Source organism: Homo sapiens, chromosome 5 (assembly GCF_000001405.40).
Source record: "Homo sapiens chromosome 5, GRCh38.p14 Primary Assembly".
Lineage (NCBI taxonomy): Eukaryota > Metazoa > Chordata > Mammalia > Primates > Hominidae > Homo > Homo sapiens.
The window spans coordinates 31,474,409-31,497,527 of record NC_000005.10 but is presented as its reverse complement, the minus strand read 5'-3'; the positions used below and the strand labels follow the sequence as shown (position 1 = coordinate 31,497,527).

At 39.7% G+C, this 23,119-nt stretch overlaps 1 protein-coding gene across 3 annotated transcripts in view, besides 2 other annotated features; it reads left to right on the top strand.

Moving 5' to 3' along the window:
- Window positions 1–23,119, top strand: part of DROSHA (drosha ribonuclease III) — a 131,600-nt gene that overhangs the window by 34,566 nt on the left and 73,915 nt on the right. For all 3 annotated transcript variants that reach the window (NM_013235.5, NM_001100412.2, NM_001382508.1), the window contains 5 exons: window positions 2,156–2,242; window positions 4,235–4,321; window positions 10,966–11,037; window positions 12,566–12,647; window positions 13,900–13,974. In NM_013235.5, the coding sequence (NP_037367.3) occupies window positions 2,156–2,242; window positions 4,235–4,321; window positions 10,966–11,037; window positions 12,566–12,647; window positions 13,900–13,974 (403 nt within the window). The remainder of the gene's footprint in view (window positions 1–2,155; window positions 2,243–4,234; window positions 4,322–10,965; window positions 11,038–12,565; window positions 12,648–13,899; window positions 13,975–23,119) is intronic.
- Window positions 3,415–3,915: an enhancer, noted in NCBI's record as "H3K27ac hESC enhancer chr5:31493720-31494220 (GRCh37/hg19 assembly coordinates)". NCBI's record gives its function as "activates a minimal SCP1, AML or CMV promoter by ChIP-STARR-seq in naive H9 embryonic stem cells {active_cell/tissue: H9 hESC(naive)}" and the evidence as "EXISTENCE:reporter gene assay evidence [ECO:0000049][PMID:30033119]".
- Window positions 4,312–4,606: a silencer, noted in NCBI's record as "tiled region #6191; HepG2 Repressive non-DNase unmatched - State 15:Elon". NCBI's record gives its function as "represses a minimal TATA promoter and a strong SV40 promoter by Sharpr-MPRA in HepG2 cells {active_cell/tissue: HepG2}" and the evidence as "EXISTENCE:reporter gene assay evidence [ECO:0000049][PMID:27701403]".

The following is a 23,119-nucleotide window of genomic DNA, read 5'->3' as shown; positions in this document are numbered from 1 at the left end:
GGCACATGCCAAAATTATTCTTAAGATCCTTCCAGGCCCATAGTAAGGGGGGACAGGCTCCCAAGTGGAGGAGGACTGTCTGGATGTCAGGGATGCCCTTGGCTTCAAGAGTTGACTGCCGGCTGGCGTGTCTCCAGCCCTTGCTGTGCCAGAGGAGCATCTTGGCCTGAAGGATCCTGGGATTGTGACACCATAGGCCAGGAAGTCTTAGGTCAGGTTTATCTGCAGAAAGCCTCTCTGTTGTTGTCTGCCAGTGGGGGAATTAGAAGATGATCCCCTGCAAGTCTGTACAATCACTGAAGGGCACATTATCCTCTCTGCACTCCTGATGGGACTGCGCAGCTTCTCCAGGGATGTGCTCTACCCTCAGATGCCTGCTGGGTGCCACGTACCCCAGTCACATGGGCTCAGCTCAGAGTCGCATCACTTGGCCTGGCTGATCCGTAGGCCTTCAAGCTGTGGAATGATGATCCCGAGTGCACGGGGTTACCATTGGTTGCACTACAGGCATTACCAGTCACCACCTGGGTCATGGTTAGGACAGTGGCTGTCACCTCCACAACCTGCTCAGATGAGGAGGCATGCCCCAGACACCATGGAAGTCTGCAAATAGGTTTACCCTTTGTCAAGGCCAGAAATTTAGAGCTTCCTCAAAGACCTGATGCAGGGACTCAGTGAGAAAGTTGTCACTGGCTGTACTGTGTGTATCACACAGGAACTGGACTGTAACTCACAGACTGAAAAATGTAACAGTCGGTAGCTATCTCCAAAGATGGTAAGATCTCTCATGACTTCAACACCCAGTCAAGGTTATCCAGGGAGCACAACTTGATGGGGCTGTGGGCATAGAGCAGGCAGCCATAAGCTGTCCCTGTCCTCTGCTGCAGTGGCTGTTTATGGCTTGGAGAATAGCACACCTCAGCATGAACGTCCCCATCAAGGGCTGAAAGTAGCTGGTGTAAAGTTCAGGAAGGAACATTTAAGCATGTTTCAGTGGGTTTATGCAGCTGCCACCTCCATGGGACTGGGGCACCGCTGGGAGAGCCCTGTATAGGCCACCTTGCAGCCAGATGTTTATGGTTTTCTTTTTGTTTTTGTTTTGAGACAAGGTCTCCCTCTGTCACCCAGGCTGGAGTGCAGTTGTGCAATCTTGGCTCACTGGAACTTCTGCCTCCTGGGCTCAAGTGATCTCCTGCCTCAACCTCCTGAGTAGCTGGGACCACAGGCATGCACCACCACACCAGGCTAATTTTTGTAAAGACAGGGTTTTGCCTTGTTGCCCAGGCTGGTCTTGAACTCCTGGGCTTAAGCAATCCTCCCACCTTGGCCTCCTAAAGTGCTATGATTACAGGCATGAACCACTGTGCCTGGCCCTACTTTACAGTTGTTTTTAAGGTGAGTCCCATCACAGGCCAAACAAGCTCTCTTGGTCTCCGAAGTTAATCAGGCTCTGTGGGCCCTTGCCATGCTGGAAAATGCCAAGACACAACCACCACCCAACCAAGTGTTTCCAGCTGCAGCTCACACCTCTCCCAGCCCCAACTTGGCACCTTGTAGCCAGAGGTTCAGACACCTGGCATCGCTCTCCTTGGCCTCCCCAGGCCCATCACCCACAGGACAAGACCCTGTCCAGCTGTCTGCAACAAGGGCAGAGCTACTTCTACTGGCAGCTGCAATAAAGGGGACTCCCAAATGGGCCCATCTCCGGCAAGCCTCATGAGTTCCTTCAGACCCTCCTTACAACTGACGTGGCCTGCTCACCCACCGACCCAGATGGAAGAACACCAAGTCTTCATCAAGGCCACCTATGTGTACTAGCAGTCCAGTGGGTGTCCCTCTGGTACCCTCATGGATGATAATTGCTCATTTACCAAGTTCATGGTATTTTGGAGGCCCCAAAACCTCAGACATTTGCGGCCTTATTGGTCATCCTTGCTTCACCAGCACCTGAGGAAGCGGCTGAGAGCTGGAGACTGGCCAGCCCTTTTTTATTGGTCTAGGTATGGCAAAGCCAATACTGTTCTTTCCTACCAGTCTGTGAAGGAACAGACATAAAACCTGTTTTGTTAGATGTGAATCTAGGAAATACAATATATTTTTAAGTAAAAGTACTCTTGCTTTACTTGTAAACTGATTTTCGTTTTTTTCCCCTCAGGCCATCAAGCCCTGTCGTCCTATGACCAACAATGCTGGCAGACTTTTCCACTACCGGATCACAGTCTCCCCGCCTACGAACTTTTTAGTAAGTTTCTAAAGAATCACATGCATATCATTTAAAATGTAAATAGAGTAAAATGTGAATAGGCTAAAGTTATTGATTCTGTTCTCAAATGTTCTTACTTTGAAAAATATTTTATTTTTATGTTGACAAATTGGCCTTTCTCACGATGACGTTTCTTTCAGCTTCCTCTTCACTATACTGCTATATCTTTTTTTCATTAAATATTGTTGGCATCACTTAATAGCCAAATTCATAATAGCCAACAATGTTGGAGCTATGGAGTGGGAAGAAAATATAGAACACTTCCACATTTCTTGAAAATTAGTGAATGGTGGCCGGGCGCGGTGGCTCACGCCTGTAATACCAGCACTTTGGGAGGCCGAGGTGGGCAGATCACAAGGTCAGGAGATCGAGACCGTCCTGGCTAACACGGTGAAACCCCATCTCTACTAAAAATACAAAAAATTAGCCGGGCATGGTGGCGGGCACCTGTAGTCCCAGCTACTCGGGAGGCTGAGGCAGGAGAATGGCGTGAACCCAGGAGGCAGAGCCGAGATCGCACCACTTTACTCCAGCCTGGGCGACAGTGTGAGACTGTCTCAAAAAAAAAAATTTTTTTTTGAAGAAATGCCAAACTGTTTCCAAAGTGGCTGTACCATTTTTGCTCATTATTTTTTTCTTTTTTCAGAGGTGAGATCTCACTTTGTTGCCCAGGCTGAATTTGAACTCCGGTCTCAAGTGATCCTCTTGCCTCACCCTCCCAAGTAGCTGGGATTACAGGCATGTGCCACTATGCCTGGCTTTCTTTTCCTTTTATTTAATTTAGACCATCTTTGTGAAGTTTTTCAAATATAAATTAACAATAATATTGGCAAAACAAATAATAGATATTTCGATATTCTTTTGCTCCCCCTCTTTCCAAGTTGTTCTTAATAGATAATGTTTAAACGAATGAAATCTAATATCTGTGTTAGAAATATGTCTTATAGGTCATCAGTCTTAATAATTACTGCCATATTTAGCATTTAAGGTTAAAAATGGCTGGGCCTGGTGGCTCATGCCTGTAATCCCAGCACTTTGGGAGGCCGAGGCGAGTGGATCACCTGAAGTCAGGAGTTTGAGACCAGCCTAGTAGGGATGGTGGAACCCCATCTCTACTAAAATACAAAAATTAGCCTGGCATAGTGGTGCACGCCTGTAATCCCAGCTACTTAGGAGGCTGAGGCACGATAATTGTTGGAAGCTGGGAGGCAGAGTCTGTAGTGAGCCAAGATCATGCCACTGCACTCCAGCCTGGGGAAGAGAGTGAGACTTCATCTCAAACACACACACACACACACACACACACACACACACACACACACACACAATGGTGGGTTATAAGAATGGCATAAGGAATAGAGGGCTTCATGCTTAGATTGATATATGTATTATTTAGTTACAAATCCAATTTTCAGGGAATTAAGGCCTTTGAACTTGTGTGGGAATTGATTTGTTGCAGTGTTTGGTTGGTTGACTTCTTGGAGAGGCTGGGAATAGAGCTATGAGGGGTTGACCTTCTGGCACCAAGAGGCCTTTGAGAGACTTCTAGGCTGTTGCTAGTCTCCACTTTATGATGCTGAGTCTTTTTCCACTTTGCATTTGAGTCAGCTGTGTTATTACCTTGCTCCTGTTAGGACTTCTGTTAGTTCAGAAACATAGTTCATTAAGAACAGAACTGGTAGTATTGTGAGATTAAATAAACAAGTTCCCAGAAAATGAAGCTTAATATAGCCTTTTATTTATTTATGGCACCCATAATATTACATCATTCATTGTCTAAGTACGTAAATATTATACTTACTATCTGAAGCCGGATAATTTCATGTAAAATTAAACTTTGTATAAAGTTCTCCCTGGTGTCTGAAAGGAAGTCCTTATGTTCTATTGGTTACTTTCTGTCCTGATGGATTTCTGCATATGCAACTCATGTCATTTATTTAATTTGGGGTTCGTGTTTCTGTTTGCTTTTAGACTGACAGGCCAACTGTTATAGAATACGATGATCACGAGTATATCTTTGAAGGATTTTCTATGTTTGCACATGCCCCCCTGACCAATGTAAGTATGTGCCAGTTGGCTGCTTTTCTCTTTCCTTGTACCTCCTTCATCCCTTCTTTCCAAAAGTCAAAACATTTCCTGTCATCTGCCTCCTAAGAAACATTTCCTCTGCATCCCTCTGTATTGTAAATGAGCTGCAGGAAGTCTGCAGCAGTGCATCAGGTGGCATTGTGACATCTGTGCTAATGAGTCACGGGTTCGGTCTGCATTAAATGGTGTAAGTAAACAAGTGTCAGAGTAACATTTTGAGAGTGTGAAAGATTGGAAAAGGAGGATAAACTGTGGAGTAATGTGTTAAAGCTATTTTGGGTTGGTTGTCCTTCAAAAGAAAGTTTTAAGGAGAAGCCATTGTTTAGTCTCTGAGCAAAAGAAACAGAGCTTATTCAGAACGTTTGGAGCCTGAATTCATGAAATAGATTTTCTGCTTTTGAATCCCAGGAATATGTCTTCAAGACACTTTGACATATGGATTCATGATATTTTTATACAGGTATTAAGTCTGCTTTGTTGGTAATTGGTTCAAATGGAAGTTCCTGATCCATGAGTCAAAATCTTTCCATCTCCATGCTCACAGTCCCAGGAATTGTCTTTCTTACTTCATATTGCAGTTGGATGTAGAGTGAATTGGCTGGCAGTGGCACAGGAACAGATGTGTGGCAGTGTACTTGACCCAGTACAGATGCTGTTGTAGAACTTACTGAATTGTAGCTATTGTATATCCACATCAAATAGAATGTTCTTTAACCTCTTCTGGTTTGGTTACGTGAAATTACATCTGCAATTTGAAAAATTATTTTAGTACTGTTTACTTCACAGATGAAATTCTGTTCCATTGGAGAGTACAGTTAAGACTCAAATCTTTGCCTTAGCTTAGCCCTTTTTGTCATTCTTTTTTTCTATGTAAGTAGATATGATTCCATAGCAGTGATGCTAATTTAGGACAAATTGTTTTCCTAATGAGATTTTCTTTATTTCACAGTATTTTTTATCCTAGAGAATTTTCTTTGAGAAGATGATTACATTGTAATGTAAAAATAAAATCATTTCATAATATATATTACATTTTTCTTCGGGGGGACCATCTGTTCACTAATGTAGAAAAGCAATAATATGGGCTGGGTGCGGTGGCTCACGCCTGTAATCCCAGCACTTTGGGAGGTCGAGGTAGGCAGATCACTTGAGGTCAGGAGTTCAAGACCAGCTTGGCCAACATGGCGAAACCCCGTCTCTACTAAAAATACAAAATTAGCTGGGCATGGTGGTGTGCGTCTGTAAACCCAGCTACTTGAGAGGTTGAGGCACAAGAATCATTTGAACCTGGGAGGCAGAAGTTTCAGTGAGCCGAGATCATGCTGCTGCACTCCAGCCTGGGCAGAAGAGTGAAACTATGTCTCAAATAAATAAATAAATATAGAAAAGCAATAGTATTAGGCCATTCTTAAATAATCTTTATGGAAAGGTACTAAGAGGTTTCTGAATTTTCATGATTTCTTTGCATTTTTTTTTTTCAAGTGTCACAAACTTTGAAACCCTTTGTTACACCGAATCTCATAGCCTTAGAGTTGATTACTCTCCACCCCCCACCATCTACTGCCTGTCTCTTTTTTCCCCACAGAGGGCTTATAAATACACAGAATTTAGTTAGCGTGAAAATACTTAAAACTATTCTTCCTCTTATTTCTTGATTCCCTAGAAGTAATATACATCTTATTTTGACTTTTAGGATCACCTTAAACAAAGAAGGATAGCAGTGTGGCTTTAGAGAGACCAGGGTTTAAAATTAGTGATAGCTCTGTGATTTGACATTTCAATCTTTATAAGCTTTGGCTTTCTCATCTGTAAGATTAGGGTATTAGTGGGAACAATCTCATTGGCTTTTGTGAAAAATAAATAAGATGGCACATGAAAAGTGTTTACCATGGTGTTTGGCACATAATAAATACTGGCACCTCTCTCTTTGGAAAGGATTTCAGACAGAGCTGGGTTTGAATCTTTCTTTGAATCCTTTTTTTTTTTTTTTTAACCTTGGACAAGTGAATTCTTTGAACTTCATTAATGATAGCAATGCTTGGGGTTTTAGTGAGAATCAGACATAATTTTTTTAAAATGTGGACTTTTTTAAAAAAAATAGTAGTTTTAGGTTTACAGCAAAAGTGAGTAGAAAACATCATTTTTAAAAACATCCCCCAGCACAAGGTTTGGCCTGAGAGGCCACTGTTGCTAAATTAGTCACAGTCGTTACTGTCATTATAAAACAAAAGGACAGAAAAAATTCCTGGCTTCAGCATATATTTTATGTAAATGTTCAAGTTCTCGGTGAGAACTTTATTCTATGACAAACCCTATCATTTGTATTAGAGATGTTGATAAAAATAGAGTTTTAAGCTGACTGTTGTGCAGTTCATAGGAATTAGATCCATCAAAGGCCTCTTGAATTTGAAATAGCCTCCTAAGGAAAAGAATTGTTAAATTGCTTTACCAATCTGATTCCTTTTCTTGCTAGAGAGAGAATGTCAGTAAGCATGTCATGCAAATGATGGTAATGACAGAATCTCCACCAAATCTAGTTCTATAAGTTCTCTTAAGGTCTTGAATTGAAGTGGATTGAAAGCCTTGTTGGCTGAGTATAGAGCATTCTGGGAGAATTTTACCTTTTTATGTAGTACATTTGTTATTGTAATACCTGATGTTAAGAGCTCTGACAACTTATCTGAAGTTTTAAAGATATGTGTATTTGCCAGGTGCAGTGGCTCACACCTGTAATCCTGGCACTAAGGCAAGGGAATTGCTTGAGGCCAGGAGTTCAAGACGGCCTGGGCAACTTAGGGGGACCTCATCTCTACAAAAAAATAAAAATATTAGCTGGGTGTGGTAATGCCTGTCTGTAGTCCCAGCTACTCTGGAAGCTAATGCGGGAGGATCACTTCAGCCCAGGAATTTGAAGCTGCAGTGAGCTGATTGCCCCACTGAACTCCAGCTTGGTTGACAGAGCTAGACCCTGTCTCTTAAAAAAAAAAAAAAAAAGGAAAAGGGCCAGGTGCAGTGACTTACACCTGTAATCCCAGCACTTTGGGAGGCTGAGGCGGGCAGATCACCTGAGGTCAGGAGTTTGAGACCAGCCTGGCCAATATAGTGAAACCCTGTCTCTACCAAAAATACACAAATTAGCTGGGTGTGGTGGCGGGCACCTGTAATCCCAGCTACTCGGGAGGCTGAGGCAGAATTGCTTGAACCCAAGAGGCGGAGTTTGCAGTGAGTCAAGATCGCGTCACCGCACTCCAGCCTGGGCGACAAGAGCGAAACTCCGCGTCAAAAAAAGAAAAAGAAAAAAAATGTAAGGTATATGTATGAGTTACACCGTATTTTGTCGTATTCTCAAAAGCACAGGAGAACCCCTGGATCATTTCCCTCCCACTTTAGTTGGCTTCCCATTTGCAGTGGACTCGCTGACTCCTGGATTTGGTCAATCAGTGTGTGGAAGTAGTAGAGTTAGAAGATGGAGGTTTGGAGAGTTTTTTAGTTTTTTGAGTTTTTTTGCTAGGGTGAGATAGGAGTATAAGTCAGTATAGGATGTTCTTTTAAGTATTCAAACATGATGGTAGTCATTTATATTATTTGATGGCATTTGTTGGGAGGTATTTTGGTGATCTTTGAAGTTACACAGTTTCTTGGTTGACCATTGTGTAGCAAAATAACAAGCTCTTCTTGACACTTAGAGAGAGATTACAGTTTGAATAGATGAGGAGATCCTGCCTTTCCAAATTTGTGTGTCTGAGAAGGGCTCTGGTGGTATGGATGGAAGCCCAAAAGAAAATAAAGTATATACAAAGAGAAGAGGTCAGAGAAGGAATTCCAAGAAGTGATTTTACTTAAAATGAAATGGAGAAAGGACTGTACGTGCATAAATCATCTAGCAGAGTGCTTTTTCCTATGATAGCAAGGAAGAAAGTTTGCACATTTGCTTTCTGCCTATCTCTTGAGAATTCCCAACAGCTCTGGTTGTTTTCTCTCCTGTTTACTCTCTGAGTAGTTCATTTCCACCCATGCATATTCTGATCCCCACCAGATCAATATTAATAGCTGTGACATGTACCTCTGTATTAATACTCCACTCTCACATTTTAGATTGCCTTTTGAAATGAACCTCCTCGATGTTTCCTCAGATACTTTACCCTCAACCTGTGTGAAACTAGACTCGTCATCTTCCCTGCATATTGAATTTGAGGTACTAAGGGGACACCCTCCTGAATTAAGTGACCTAGTTGGTCACTTACGCCAGAAACCCAGAAATGATCCTCAATTCTTTCTTCACTCTTCCTCCCACATCAGAATGGTCACTGTATATTTCAGTAATATCTCCTGTGTTTAAAATTTTTCTCTTCCTTTCCAGTCTTCCCTTCATTTGGCTCCTGGACTATTGCATTAGACTTCAGTCTGGTCTTCTTTGTTCCCTTACAAGCCATTCCCACACTGTTTCCACAGTGTCTCATCTGAAATGTAAATGATGATAATCTGTAACTTAAAGTACTTGAATGATTTCTCGTTGCCATATATCCATAAGCCCTGACCTTAACATGGTTTGTAAGGGCTACATAATAGAGTTCATATTTTCCTCTCTAGATCATCTGGCATCTCTCTCTCTCCACGCACTTCTATCTGAACTGTGAAATTACTACTTCTTTCCTCAGCTCCCTTTCCTCCATTTTTCTAGAAGCTAAACACCTGCTCTGCCTCAACTTTTTCTAGATGACCTGGAAAATTCCTCCCCATCTTTTTTTTTTTTTTTTTTTTTTGGTGATAGAGTTTTGCTCTTTTGCCCAGGCTGGAGTGAAGTGGCATGATCTTGGTTCACTGCAACCTCCAACTCCCGGGTTCAAGTGATTCTTCTGCCTCAGCCTCCCAAGTAGCTGGGATTATAGACGCCACCACGCCCAGCTAATTTTTGTATTTTTAGTAGAGACGGGGTTTCACCATGTTGGCCAGGCTGTTCTTGAACTCCTGAACTCAGTTGATCCACGCTGCTCAGCCTCCCAAAGTGCTAGGATTACAGGCATAAGCCACCGTGCCCGGCCCCTCCTCATCTTTGAAGACAACTCATATGTTACCTCCTCTTTGGTTCTTTTATACTTTATACTTTTTTTGTTGCTTGTTTGTTTTTTAATTGAACTTAGAAGTTACATTGCATTGTATTCTTTTTGTATTTACTTACATGCCTTTCTTCTTACACATCTTTACCTCTTAAGATAGGACCCGTAGCTTATTTTAGAGTACCTATGAACCTAATATAGTTGTTAGCAAAGAATAGGTATTTTAAAAATACATTGAATCATGCAAAATTTTGTAACTCTTAAATATTTTTAAATGATTATAAGAACAAAGTAGAACTTAAAAATGATAATGGCTATTATGAATTTCACTCAAATTAACCACTATTCTTTAGAATAAAAAGGAAAAGCCCCCAAGAACTAAACTTTGTATCTGAGAAAAGGATTTCCAGTAGATGGCATTATAAGACTATTTTTCTGTTTTTCTTACCATCCCTTTCACTGATAGAATTAAAATTTGTTTCTTTCTGATTGCTGTGGTTTATGAAAATGATTACATCTGTATAAAATCATCTTATGGACAGATTAAGCAGCCAGAAAAACTCAGTTAACGCGTCTCTGGGACTTCTGGGTCTGTTATTTTCCCCAGCTAGCCAGCCAATTCTCTGCAGTAATCTCCCTCCCTTTTTCATTCTTTAATTCATTCAAAAATATATTTACGGAAAACCTGTTATGTGTAGGCAGTAGGCAATTGTCTGATGATACATTGGTAAAGTAAGATAGATGTGGATTTATTTTATGCTGAGCCTTCCTTCATTTTCACATGTATCTTGAGTATTAGAACAGGTAATGAGAGGGGTATACTCTAGTGGCTAAGAGCTGGAGTCTAGAGAAAGACTTCGCAGTTCACCAAGCTACCTGTTATCTTAGGCATGGTACCTGATGACTCTTCTGCCTTAGCTTCCTGCACTGTTCAGTGGACATGGTAGCCAAACCCATGTTATAGGGATGTTGTGATGGTTACATGAATGAATATTGTGAAGCATTTGGGACACTGCCTGGCTCAAAAAATGTTAGCTATTATTATTTTTATTATCATTTGTTATTATTATATTTATTACCACAATTGCCTTTGCTTAAGAGCCAGATGGGCAGCATGAATTGGGTGTTTTCAGTGACCTATGAATCCATAATTGATGAGTTATCACCCTACTATCCCTGATCTGCCTAAGGAGCCAGAGATTCTAAAATATTTTAAAAACTTGAGAAACAGAAATGTTTATGGTTATGGTTTTATTAATTCTTTAGAGGTGATACTTGTGGTTTTAATGGGTTCTTGTCATGTTTGTGTTGCTGCTGCTAATACTGTTAATTAAGCACCACATTATGCAGGTTTCTTGGCGAGGCCAGGCCAGCTGGGTTCTTGTCATTAAAATCCAGCAGTTGTGGTCAAGCTTCATGTGCAGTGTTGTTAGCCGCTGAGATGAAGGTGAAGCCTTCTCATTTGGTTCATGGCCTTTTGGGTCAGGTAACAAACGTGTATAATATGAGCCTGCAGGGAGACGTTGGGGAACTGAACCTCACTTCTTTTTATTGCAGATTCCACTGTGTAAAGTAATTAGATTCAACATAGACTACACGATTCATTTCATTGAAGAGATGATGCCGGAGGTAAGGGAAAAGATTGTGTGTGGTTTGATGTAGTTTGCTCTTTTGCTTGTTCCATACTACTATTTTAAAGCATTGAACTTGGCCAGATCTGGCTTTTGCCAGGAATATCTCTAAAGTATCATATTCACTGTTGAAAGAGTCAGTGAAATGTAGCTCTAGTATCAAGGTTAAAATTCAGGCCAATTTTCAACTTGTTGACCTGTTTTTATACCCCTTTCTCCTTGTGTTACGTCTGCTGATATTAACTTTACATCTGTTTCTAGTTTCTTTTACGTAGGGGACAGATTTTGGTTACTGGCCATTATCAGAGGGGAAATTGGAATAGTGAAACAATCTGATAGCTGTTGTAATAATCTTATTCGTTATCTCCAATGACAAGATCAATGCTTGGTTCATTTTTCTTCCCATATATTTACATATTTTTCCTAATTGTTTTTCATTGCGAGTGCTCAACAGCAGATTTATCTCAATATATGCAAGAGATTTAAAATTCCAAAGGAAGATTAATGTGAATCTCAGAATGATTCATAGTCTGATCTTGAATTTAGTGGTGTCAACAAATCATACTAAGAAATAACAACTAGACAGCAAACAAGCTTGTGCACTTAACATTGTGTTGGAGTCAGGGTCAATTTCCGGAGCCCCTGGCTCTGCTTGCAAACCTTGTTTAATGGGACAGCTCTGTCATGGGCAGGGAGTGTGGAGGGGGAAATTGATCGGCATCACATGTGTGCCTAGTTGGCACCTGTTTCATTCTGAGCAAGTGTTGTTTATTGTACCTTCCTTTCAAAAAGAATTAAAGAAAAAGAACCACCCCTTCATTCTCCTGCTTTAGAAGGGTTTTTTTTTTTTTTTAACTTCCTTTTGGTTTTTAAGGTCATATGCCTTCATTTGCTATTGTAAAAGTTTATGACTTCTGGCGTGATCTCACGCAGGGTGATTTATGAACTCCGAGCAAAACAAGTAGGAGGAAGAATTATGAGATAAGTCTCACTTGCAAATATATCTGTTTAGCTTGTTTACAGGAGAAATTTTGGTGCAGAGTTGTATAATTTTCTTAGCCCTTTATTTGCATTCATTACTTTTTGAACTTTTTGGGTACACAGGACCTCTGTTTTTTGGTAACTCCATGACAATTATGCTGGATGTATGGGGCGGGGGTGGGGGACAAGCCTATCAGGTGCATATGTATAATCTGAATTAACAAAACATCCTCAGAAGATTCTGACACAGTTTATAATTGAATTAGAAAAATATATTAATATAAGTGAGACTTTACTTTTTGAATTTCTTATTTTATTTGTATACTGAGAAGGGCTAAGTTGACATTAAGGAATCCTAGTGGCATTATTGTCTATTTCATTTCCATCTGAAACTAGCGATCAGTGGCCAAACTCTTCAGGAAACTATATGGTCTTAGTATAGTTTTAACAGACACTTTTAAAGACACTTGACAAGAACAAGTTGAACCTTCAGTTAATGTATATTTTGCCAAACTACAGTAATTTAATTTTGGTTTATTTTTCAGAATTTTTGTGTGAAAGGGCTTGAACTCTTTTCACTGTTCCTATTCAGAGATATTTTGGAATTATATGACTGGAATCTTAAAGGTAAGTAATAGGATTTAAAGAAGAGAGTAGTGTTTATGGAAGAACATTATGGTATATGTGAAAACTCTTATAAAAGTTGTAGGGAGATAGTTGAAATTTCTCTTATTTTTTAAATACCCAGAGAAAAGTGTTATTCACAGGAATGCTTGTTATCATTTGACATGAATAAGTTTCTATGGATTTTACTTTATACAGTTTGACAGGGCTTATTATTAGCTGGTAGCGGCTTGAAGATGGTACCAGTTATTATGTGTAGCTACCTTGATATATGTGTACCTGGGAAATTACCATTAGTTAATATTTTAAATCTAGTAAACTTTGCTGTAATAAATCTTCTAAGATGCAAAACTTTGGTTAGTCATTAAAACACACACATGCACACACGCAGACACTTAGAGTGAACTAGATAGATTCAAAGACTTGATGCTTGGTTCTTGGATAGTAGCTTACTTTTTTGGAAGTATCCGTATTCTTTTTTTTTTTTTTTTTTTTTTTTTTTTGAGACGGAGTCTCGCTCTGTCGCCCAGGCCGGACTGCGGACTGCAGTGGCGCAATCTCGGCTCACTGCAAGCTCCGCTTCCCGGGTTCACGCCATTCTCCTGCCTCAGCCTCCCGAGTAGCTGGGACTACAGGCGCCCACCACTACGCCCGGCTAATTTTTTTTTGTATTTTTAGTAGAGACGGGATTTCTCTGTGTTAGCCAGGTTGGTCTCGATATCCTGACCTCGTGATCCGCCTGCCTCGGCCTCCCAAAGTGCTGGGATTACAGGCGTGAGCCACTGCGCCCAGCGGTTGGAAGTATCCGTATTCTAGCAAACAGTTACTTATTTATTGGTGAATGGCTTTTCAAACTGATAGCATTTCTCAACATTTTTTTTTTAGTGTAGTGATTAAAATGGGAAAGAATGAACACATAGTCACATTATATCATGCAGTAATTCAATTATAATAAGTCTTGATAGTTTTGAATTTTAAAAATAATTTTACTGTATGTATTTGCTACTTGGGGCTTTCATCCTCTTCTTGCCTTCCTGTAGTCTCCTCATTGCAGTCTTCCTTGGGTGCTTGTGGCAGTTACCAATGATTGATTTAGCCACTGAGGAGGAGTGGCAGGAGGTGGTGGTAATTTTTATGCCTCTACTTCTGGTGGTAGTTTTTGTGGTTATCATAAATCTTAGAAATTAAGTTGCAGTGCTTGTTTTTTAAGACTGAGTTTTCTTTTTTTTTTTTTTTTCTCATTTGTTTGCTTCAGGTCCTTTGTTTGAAGACAGCCCTCCCTGCTGCCCAAGATTTCATTTCATGCCACGTTTTGTAAGATTTCTTCCAGGTAAATCTTCTGGCTTGTCAGTGACCTGGTGAGATAGTGCATCTGAAAATAAGCTTGCCATTTTCCTTTCAGTCTTCAGGGACAACTTTCCCACCTTCGATACTGTTAATTATCTACTTCTCAGGTTAGGCACGGAAATGTAAAATTATACATGTGGATTTATATCCCTGCATAAATTATGGTAGTCCAAATTAGATGAACAATGGAAGAACAGATTTATAAATTTTAGAAATCTACTTGACAAAATATCATGCGGGTGTGTTAATGTGGAGAAATGATTGTGGCTTAAAAAATGCATATGGCTAATTGGAAAACAATAAAAAAATTTAAATGCAATATGATTATAACTGCTGAAAAAATTACTGTAATAATAGTTACATTAAGGTAGTAGGATTATAGTGATTTTTTCTTATCTTTTGACATGTGCTTGAATTCATTTTACAGTGAAAAAAAGGTATAAAATAATTTTTTCTCCCAATAAAATATAGGGAAATATATGACAGTTTTTTAAAGCAATATTTTAACTGTTTTCTAATTTTTTAAAAAGAATCCACCTGTAATATTTGGCATTATATTTAGTGTTTTTAAAAATGCTTGGAGTCAGTTTAGTGACATGTACCTATAGTCTCAGCTATTTGGGAGGCTGAGAAGGAAGGATCGCTTGAGCCCAGTGAGGGTTTGAGACCAGCTTGAGCAACATGGCAAGGCCCTATCTCTAAAAATTAAAAAAAAAAAAAAAGTATTTTTAATGAAATCTTTTGGTTGCCTTTTTGTTTGCAAATCTTTCTCCTTGAGGCTTCTGGCACCCTATTCCCACTCCTTCTTTATTTATTTCCTAGTCAATTACCTGCTTTATCAAATGCTGTGAAACCTGGCTTACAGTTTCCTCTCTCCACAAGGTTCTGTTACCAGCCTGGTGAACTTCACTTACCATTCTACCCTGAGCTATATAATTATTTGACTTTTTCTACTGTAAGGATTGTCACCACTCAGCCGCTTAATCTTAAGATAAAACCTTGGACCATGCCACCAACCTACATTAATTTCTCCCTAGAATTTGACTCCATTATCTCACTTTCTGGTGACATCCTTCAGTCTAGCCTCTCATGTCCCTATTGCCTTTGCATCTACTTGGATCTTCCCTCTTCTCCTTATGTATGGCTACTTTCCTTTGCCTTCCCCACCAGGTCCTGTGCTCTGATGTTTACCCTGTCAGTTCTAGCTGTCTTAGCTGCCTGTATGGCCATCATCTCCGAGTTAATGTCATCAATCCAACTGCTTGCCTTTTCTTCTATATATGGGCCACTCAGTAATACTGAAGAGTAAAACATAGCTGCTGCTATAAATCTGTGGTCTATAATCTTGGTTGGGGAGCTTTTCTTCGTGTAACCTTTCCACCCAATATCAGCAGTTAAAGAATTTCAGTGCTGTGTTTGTGCTGTCCTCCTTATGCCTCCTGTCTTCCCATGGGCAGAAGCCCCTGTCTCCCTTGGGCAGGAGCCCTTGTCTCCCTCATGCCTGAGAGCCCTGCAGTGAGCCTGTCGGAGTCTGGCTTCCTCCAGTGCCCTTGTCCATTCACAGCCAAGTTTTGCTTCAGTGCCAGACCCTCTCTAACTGTCCCTAGCCCACTGTAGCTGCCGATGCCAGAGGCAGCCTCCTACAGACCAAGTGCAGAGCATGTGCCTCAGTGTTAGTCTCTTCCCTGCTCTGGTGCCTGGGTGCTCCTTACTTTCCTCCTGTCTCTTTGACTCCTCTTGTGTGGCTTTAGTTTCTTGTCTACTCTGTCTGGTTTAGATTTTTCTCAAGATTTTTTCCTGATACTCTTTCCTCAGTCCAGGCAGTCAAAATGGCTTAGTTTATTTTAGGTTAGCATTACTCAGATTTTTAGTATTACTGTTCATGTTTATTTTGTTTAGAAATGCATTCAAAGGCTTTTCTCCTTTTTATATCTGGTTTTGTTTTATTGAGATGCCGTTTCTTCTCTTCTGGTGAATGAATCTTTTGATTTTAGAATGGAGCTTCAACAGTAAACTTATTAGAAAATGGTGTTAGAGTGAATTTGCTGAAAAGCCTTTTCCTTTCTATATCTACTTTCCTGTAGGCGTTTTATGACCAAACAGATGTCTGAGAGAAAGTGGGCAGTTTTAAAATCACCTTAAAGAAAAATCTGCTGTTGGATATTTACTTTGTGAGATTTCAACTCTCACGTAACTATGTGGGGATAACATTTAGGTTGTCATAAAGAAAAAGGTCTATTGATTTGTTTTTAAACAGGGTTTACCTTTTCATTAGACTCCCCTTTGAAAATATACATACTAAGAAGACCCCGAAGGATACAGAAAAATACCTGATGTATAAAATGCATTTTGGTATTAGATAGGAAATTACGGTTGATTTGTTATTCATAATGTGACTTTGTTAAAGATCTTTTAGAAAATGGTGAATTAAAAAAAAACATTTTGATATATATTTTCATTTTTTTCTGTGCAGAAGGGTTTTTTTTACGTAGTTGTCATCTACTAGTATATGATTTGCATCTATTTTTTAATAATTCATTGAGCAGATGGATATTTTTAAAGATTGTGATATATAGTGCCAAATTTCTTGTCAAAAGAATAACATCAGTTTGTGCTGCCATGAAAAATGCATTATTATTCATTTTTAGCATTTTGCCTTTCCCATCTTCCTTCTCTCCTTTCTTTCTTCCTTTTAAAAAATTTCAGTGGTGAGTTCCATGAGGCTGAAGAGTAAACATTTGTCTGTCTTGTTGTATCACTAGTGCTAACATACTTCATGGCACATAGCAGGGACGCAGTAAATGCTTGTTTACTGATTTTATTTAATTGGTCATAATAATGCCTTATCTAAGTATTCATGTTTTTGGTTACTAGTGAGTGTGCTTTTCAAATAGTCTTTGGTATTATCTCTCATTTTTATAAAGTAAACTTTTGGTTGAACTATAACATAAATACTGAAAAGTGCATGGATCATGAATATAGGACCTTAGTGAGTTTTTACAAAGTGAATATGACCATCCACCCAGCACCCAGATCAAGATTAGTAGCTTCCAAGAACCCCCTTCGGACCCCTTTCCAGTCGCTGCTGAGACCCTCAAGGGTAACCGCTATTCTGACTTGAAACACCATGTATTAGTTTTACCTGTTTTTGAACTATAAAAACTAGAATTTTATATTCTGTTTTGCTTCTGTCTTTTGTTTAATGTATTTCAGAATCATATCCTGTTGCACTTAACTGTAGTTGGCTCATTCTCACTACTATATAGTATTATATGGGATGACTAAATTAAAATAAACCTATCTATGATTAATGGACATTTGAGTATTTTCAGTATATATATATATATATATATATATACTGACATTGCCAATAGAAAAACGGGCAAAAGACTTGAATGAGCACTTTAAAAAAAACACTATCTAGGTACCTAATAAATATATGAAATAGTGCTCCATTTTATTAGTCATTAGGAGAATGCAAATTAAAATCACAATGTGATACTTCTGAACACACATCAGAATGGCTAAATTGACAAAGAAAAAATAAATGCCAAGTGGTGAGAATGTGAAATAACTTGAATTTTCATACACTGTTAATGAGAAGGTAAAACAGTACAGTCACTTTGGAGAACTGAAAGTGTCTACAAAGCTTAATATACACACAGCCAGAATTCCACCTGGTATGGTATATATGTAACAGAAAAATATGTATATATGCTCACTAAACAACACGTACATGTCTTTGGTGAACGTACATATGCTATTCAAATATACAGATACAGATATATAGTGAATATATGTTATATATAGTGAATATAGAACATGAATATAAATGTCATGAATATATATATATCTAATACCTTCTCTGTAGATTGCTTTTTGATCTTCTTGATGATTTTTGTTGAATAGAAATTCTTAATTTTTATGTAGTCCAATTTATAGATATATATTCCTTTATGATTAGAGCTTTTTGTATCATATTTATGAAATTTTCGCCTACCCTAAAGTCAAGATACTCACTTATATTTTCTTCACTTTCAGAGCTGTAATCAGTCTTGAATTTGTTTTCACAATTCGTATGAGATATGGGTCAAAACTCAGTATTTTCAACGTGGGTATCCAATTGACCCAGCACCATTTATTGAAAAGAACAATTTCTTTCTTTAGAAAATTGAAGTGTTGCTTTTGCTTTTGATTGAGTTGACTCTGTGTGTATGTGTGTGTATACAAACAATACAAAAGTATGTAAAGTAAAAACAGTGAACACTTCCTTCTGAACATGTGAAAATGGGTAAATGCTGTAAATGGCTTGATTTGTATTGTTTTAACTGCTTTAAGGAGAATTATGCTTTTTTTCTTCAAGTGGAATAACAATATGTTACACAACTTCCTTTTTTTTTTAAACTCAGATACTTCAGGCATTCTCTGTACTGTAAATGCTTTGCTTCATTCTTTGATGCATACTTAGCATTTTATAGTATGGATGGACATTAATTTGTTTATAATTCCTATGGTGACAAATATTCTGGAGTTCTCCATTGTTTCCCCATTTTGTATAAATGCTTCAGAAATAGTCTGTGTCTATCCTGTTGCATTTGTTTGTTTCTGTAAGGTAGAGTTCTAGTAGTGAAATTATGTGTTAAGATAGTATGTACATTTTAAATTCAGAATGATGTTGGCCAAGTTTTCTCTAGAAAGGACATACCAATTTGTAGTTCTGACCAACAGTACTCTTTCTGACCAACAGAAAGTACTCTTTTTCTATACACCTGCCAATACTGGATGTTACTAGTCTTTTTTTTGAGACAGAGTCTCACTCTTCTCACCCAGGGTGGAGTGCGGTGGTGCCATCTCGGCTCACTGCAACCTCTGCCTCCCGGGTTCAAGCGATTCTCTTGCCTCAGCCTCCCAAGTTGCTGAGATTACAGGGACCTGCCACCATGCCTGGCTAATTTTTGTATTTTTAGTAGAGACAGGGGTTTGCCATGTTGGTCAGGCTGGTCTCGAACTCCTGACCTCAGGTCTGCCCGCCTCAGCCTCCTAAAGTGCTAGGATTAAAGGCGTGAGCCATCACACCTGGCCAGGATGTTACTAGTCTTTTACAGTTTAGTCCAAGCTTGTCCAACCCACAGCCCATGGGCCACATATGGCCCAGGACGGCTTTGAATGTGGCCCATCACAAATTCGTAAACTTTCGTAAAACATTTTGAGTTTTTTTTGGATTTTTCTTTTTAATCTCATCAGCTGTCGTTAGTGTCAGTGTATTTTATGTGTGGCCCAAGACAATTCTTCCACTGTGGCCCAGGGAAGCTGAAAGATTGGACATTCCTGGTTTAGTCCATCTGATAAGCGAAAAGTCTGATGTTACTATTTGCATGTTTCTTGAACTTCTTTGAGAATGAGTAACTTTCCGCATTTTTCAGGTATTTTATGGTTTTCTCATTCTGACTTGCTTTTTGTTTATGTCAGTTTATTATAATATCTAACTGAAAATTCAAGTTTTATAAGTCATCATCATATTTCTCTAATTCTTCAGTTTATCCCTTTTGAAGATAGCTGTCCCAGTTGCTTTATACAACTTTACCCAAAAGTAAGCTTGATAGTTTAAACCAAGGATTATTCAATGTTGACCAGTTTACCAGAAACCAAATCATAGAGCAATCAGTTTATTGAGATTTAAAATTTTTTCTCAAATTTTTGTTTCTTTCCTATCCCACTCTCTACCTTTGGTCGCAAAATAGTTGATATGAACTAGACTGAGTATAAGGTTTTATTCTGAGTGTAACTGGGGCAAAGGTAGGTCGTGATTCAAGATAGTGAGATCACACTTAGGGGAAAGCCTACTCATTGCTTATATTACTGCCCTAGTAAAGCATTGCAAATCCTGAATCAGTTTTGCAAATTGACTGTCTAGAAAATTGATTCTTTGAAATTGCCCCATCTGGAGCAGTAGTTCTCAGGTGTGGCTGGCAGGGGGCCAGGAGGTGGGAGAGTATTGCAAAATTTCCAGGAGGCAAGTGTAGTTTGCAAAACCATCTATTAGTACCACAACTTAATATACATTTGGAAAATTTAGAAAAGACTTGTTAATACGTATTTTAGAAAATAAGATTATTAGGATGTCTCAGCAGGAATATCCAGAAGACACAGAAACGCAGTCATACAGTTACTGTCAGTGTAGAGAAAGGGGATAATATTTTTGTATTTCTTAAAGTTGAGTACTAACAGTTGAGAAATACTCTTATAAGCAGCCATATTCTTAATACAGATTCTCTAACAAATTACCCCCTCCCCAAATAACCATATAAATAATCAAGCAATATAAACTGAGAGAATTGGGTCTCTAAGAAACAGTTTATAAAGTCTGTCAGTTCATTAATGACTGTCCAGATTCATTCCCTGAAACACAAACTCCAGTTCTTCCCGAATAATGAGCTGTTGTCACAGTTCCAGTCCCAGAGTTGGCGGAATTCCTGCTAACCTTAGCTTACCCGCTCTCATTTCTCATTTATATCATGTCCTATTTATTTCAGCCAACAAGATAAAAATTACTTCCTAGCCCTCAGTGACATGGCTCCATAAATCCCCAACATAAACAAGTGGCAAGGCAGACAAACCAAAAGAGCCAATTCATTAACATTAGTGAATTCATGGCAGCCTGAGTGCGAGTGGCCAAGTTATTAGTCTGCTTTAGAAAGTCATTCCACAAATGTTTATGGAGTGTCTTTTTGCCAGGCTGGGTGTGAGAGATATAGCCCATGCCCTGTGGGCTCTGGCAGGAGTCTCTAATTTATGGATCTCCTCTTACCTTTCCATGGAAATCGAGCCCCAAAACCAGACAGGGAGCAGAGTCTCAATCCCCCTTCCTTGAGATACCTTTCACCTCAGGTTATCTGCCCTGAGTTTCTACTTTTTTACAGTGGTAAATAAAATCTCTTTAAGGTTTAGTTGCCATTTAAAATATTTAGCAGATTTCAACATGGATTTGTGGTTTCTCCTTCAGTGTTGTTAACTTTGCACCTGATGTGTGTATATGTATATTTTTAATTATGTCTTGTTTCTATGCTGCTATGTGACTCGCTTCTGCCTCATCATTAGCGTTGTACCTAAATAAGAAGGTGGATAACTGGCATTCTTATAAGCACCTTGTGATCTTCTTTCTTTCTTTCTTTGATAGAGAGTCTCACCCTGTCACTCAGGCTGGAGTGCAGTGGCACAGTCTCGGCTTACAGCAATCCCTGCCTCCCAGATTCAAGCGATTCTCCTGCCCCAGCCTCCTGAGTAGCTGGGATTACAGGAGTCTGCCACCATGACTGGCTGATTTTTGTATTTTTAATAGAGACAGGGTTTTGCCACGTTGGCCAGGGTGGTCTCGAACTCCTGACCTCAGGTGATCCACCCACCTTGGCCTCCCAAAGTGCTGGGATTACAGGCGTGAGCTACCCCACCCGGCCAATGGCCTTATTTCTTAATCTAGTTGTGCCTTTCCTAAATTGGACAGTATCTATACTAATCATTTTCTACAGAAATGAAGCCTTTAAGTGAGTCTTGGTTTGTAGTCTTAAGTATTCCTCTCTCCCACTAGCTCTTTTAAAAGTCTTTTCACATTAAATTTGCTCTCCCCAGTCCATTTCCCTTTTATCTGAAGTGCCATGGAGTCAGGCAGCTGTAAATGTATGTGTGGAGATTGTAGTGCTGTTTTATATACCTGGACCTGTGTATATTTACTCCCTCCGTCATCCTCCTCTCCCTCCATGAAAATATGAATCTTTTTTCTAATTCTTACACAAAGCAACATTCTGCTCCTTCTTACGGTATTTTAGACCCCTATTGTGTCCTTAAAGTCCCTGGTACTCTTAAGTAATCTCACCAAGTATAGGCATTATAAGCCAAAAACTATTTTCTTCTTTCCTTAGTTCCTAGTGAACCTAGTTAGTGTGGCAGTTCTTTCCAAGGTTCTCTAGGTTTCCTTTATTCCTGCTGTTCTGTGTGTATGCATGTGAAGTGTATAGACAACGTATTCTGGCATTAGAATTTTCTCATCCACCTGTTCACCTCAGTCCCCTTAGAAAATTGGTGATTATCATGGACTCAGACTGAGAGACAGGTATTGTGGGTTTGCTGGGCTCCTTAGCAAAGAGAGGAACATTACTGATTGAGGAACACATGTCACAAGCAGGTGGATTGGAATGTGTTTTTATTATTTTATTTTATTTTTTGAGACAGGGTCTTACTTTGTTCTCCAGGTTGGAGTGAAGTGGCACAGTTACGGCTCACTGCAGCCTCAACCTTCAGGGCTCAGGTGATCCTCCCACCTCAGCCTCCTGAGCAGCTGGGACCACCAGTGTGTACCACCATGCCTGGCTAATTTTTGTATTTTTTTGTAGAGAGGGGTTTTGCCATGCTGCCCAGGCTAGCCTTGAACTCCTGAGCTCAAGCAGTCTGCTCACCTTGGCCCCTCAAAGTGCTGGGATTACAGGCGTGAGCCACCATGCCCAGGTGGAAATGTGTTTTGAGACTGACTTGGAGAAATATGCCCCTAGCTATGTGTCTTCGATTGAACTGTACTAACAAAAACATTATAGATTGGTGGCTTAGACAACAAACACTTATTTCTCACAGTCCTGGAGGCTGGTAGTCTGAGATCAGGGCATCATCGTGGTTGGGTTGTTGATGAAGGTCCTCTTACTGTTTCACAGCCAGCCATCTTCTTATATCCTCACCTGGTGGATAAAAGAGAGAGGAAGCAAGCTCTTTCATGTTTCTTGTAAGGGCACTAATCCCATTTATGAGGGCTCTACCTTCATGACCTTATTACCTCTGAAGGCCCCACCTCCTAATATCATCATACTGGGGGTTAAGATTTTAATATATGGCTGGGTGCCGTGGCTCACACTGTAATCCCAGCACTTTGGGAGGCTAAGGTGGGAGGGCCATTTGATCCCAGGAATTGGAGAACAGCCTGGGCAACATAATTAGACCCTGTCTCTACAAAAAAATTAAAAAAGTAGCCAGGCCTGGTGGCACAAGCCTGTAGTCCCAGCTACTTGGGATGCTGAGATGGGAGGATTGCCTGAGCCCAGGAGGTTGAGGCTGCGATGAGCCGTGATGGCATCACTGCACTCCAG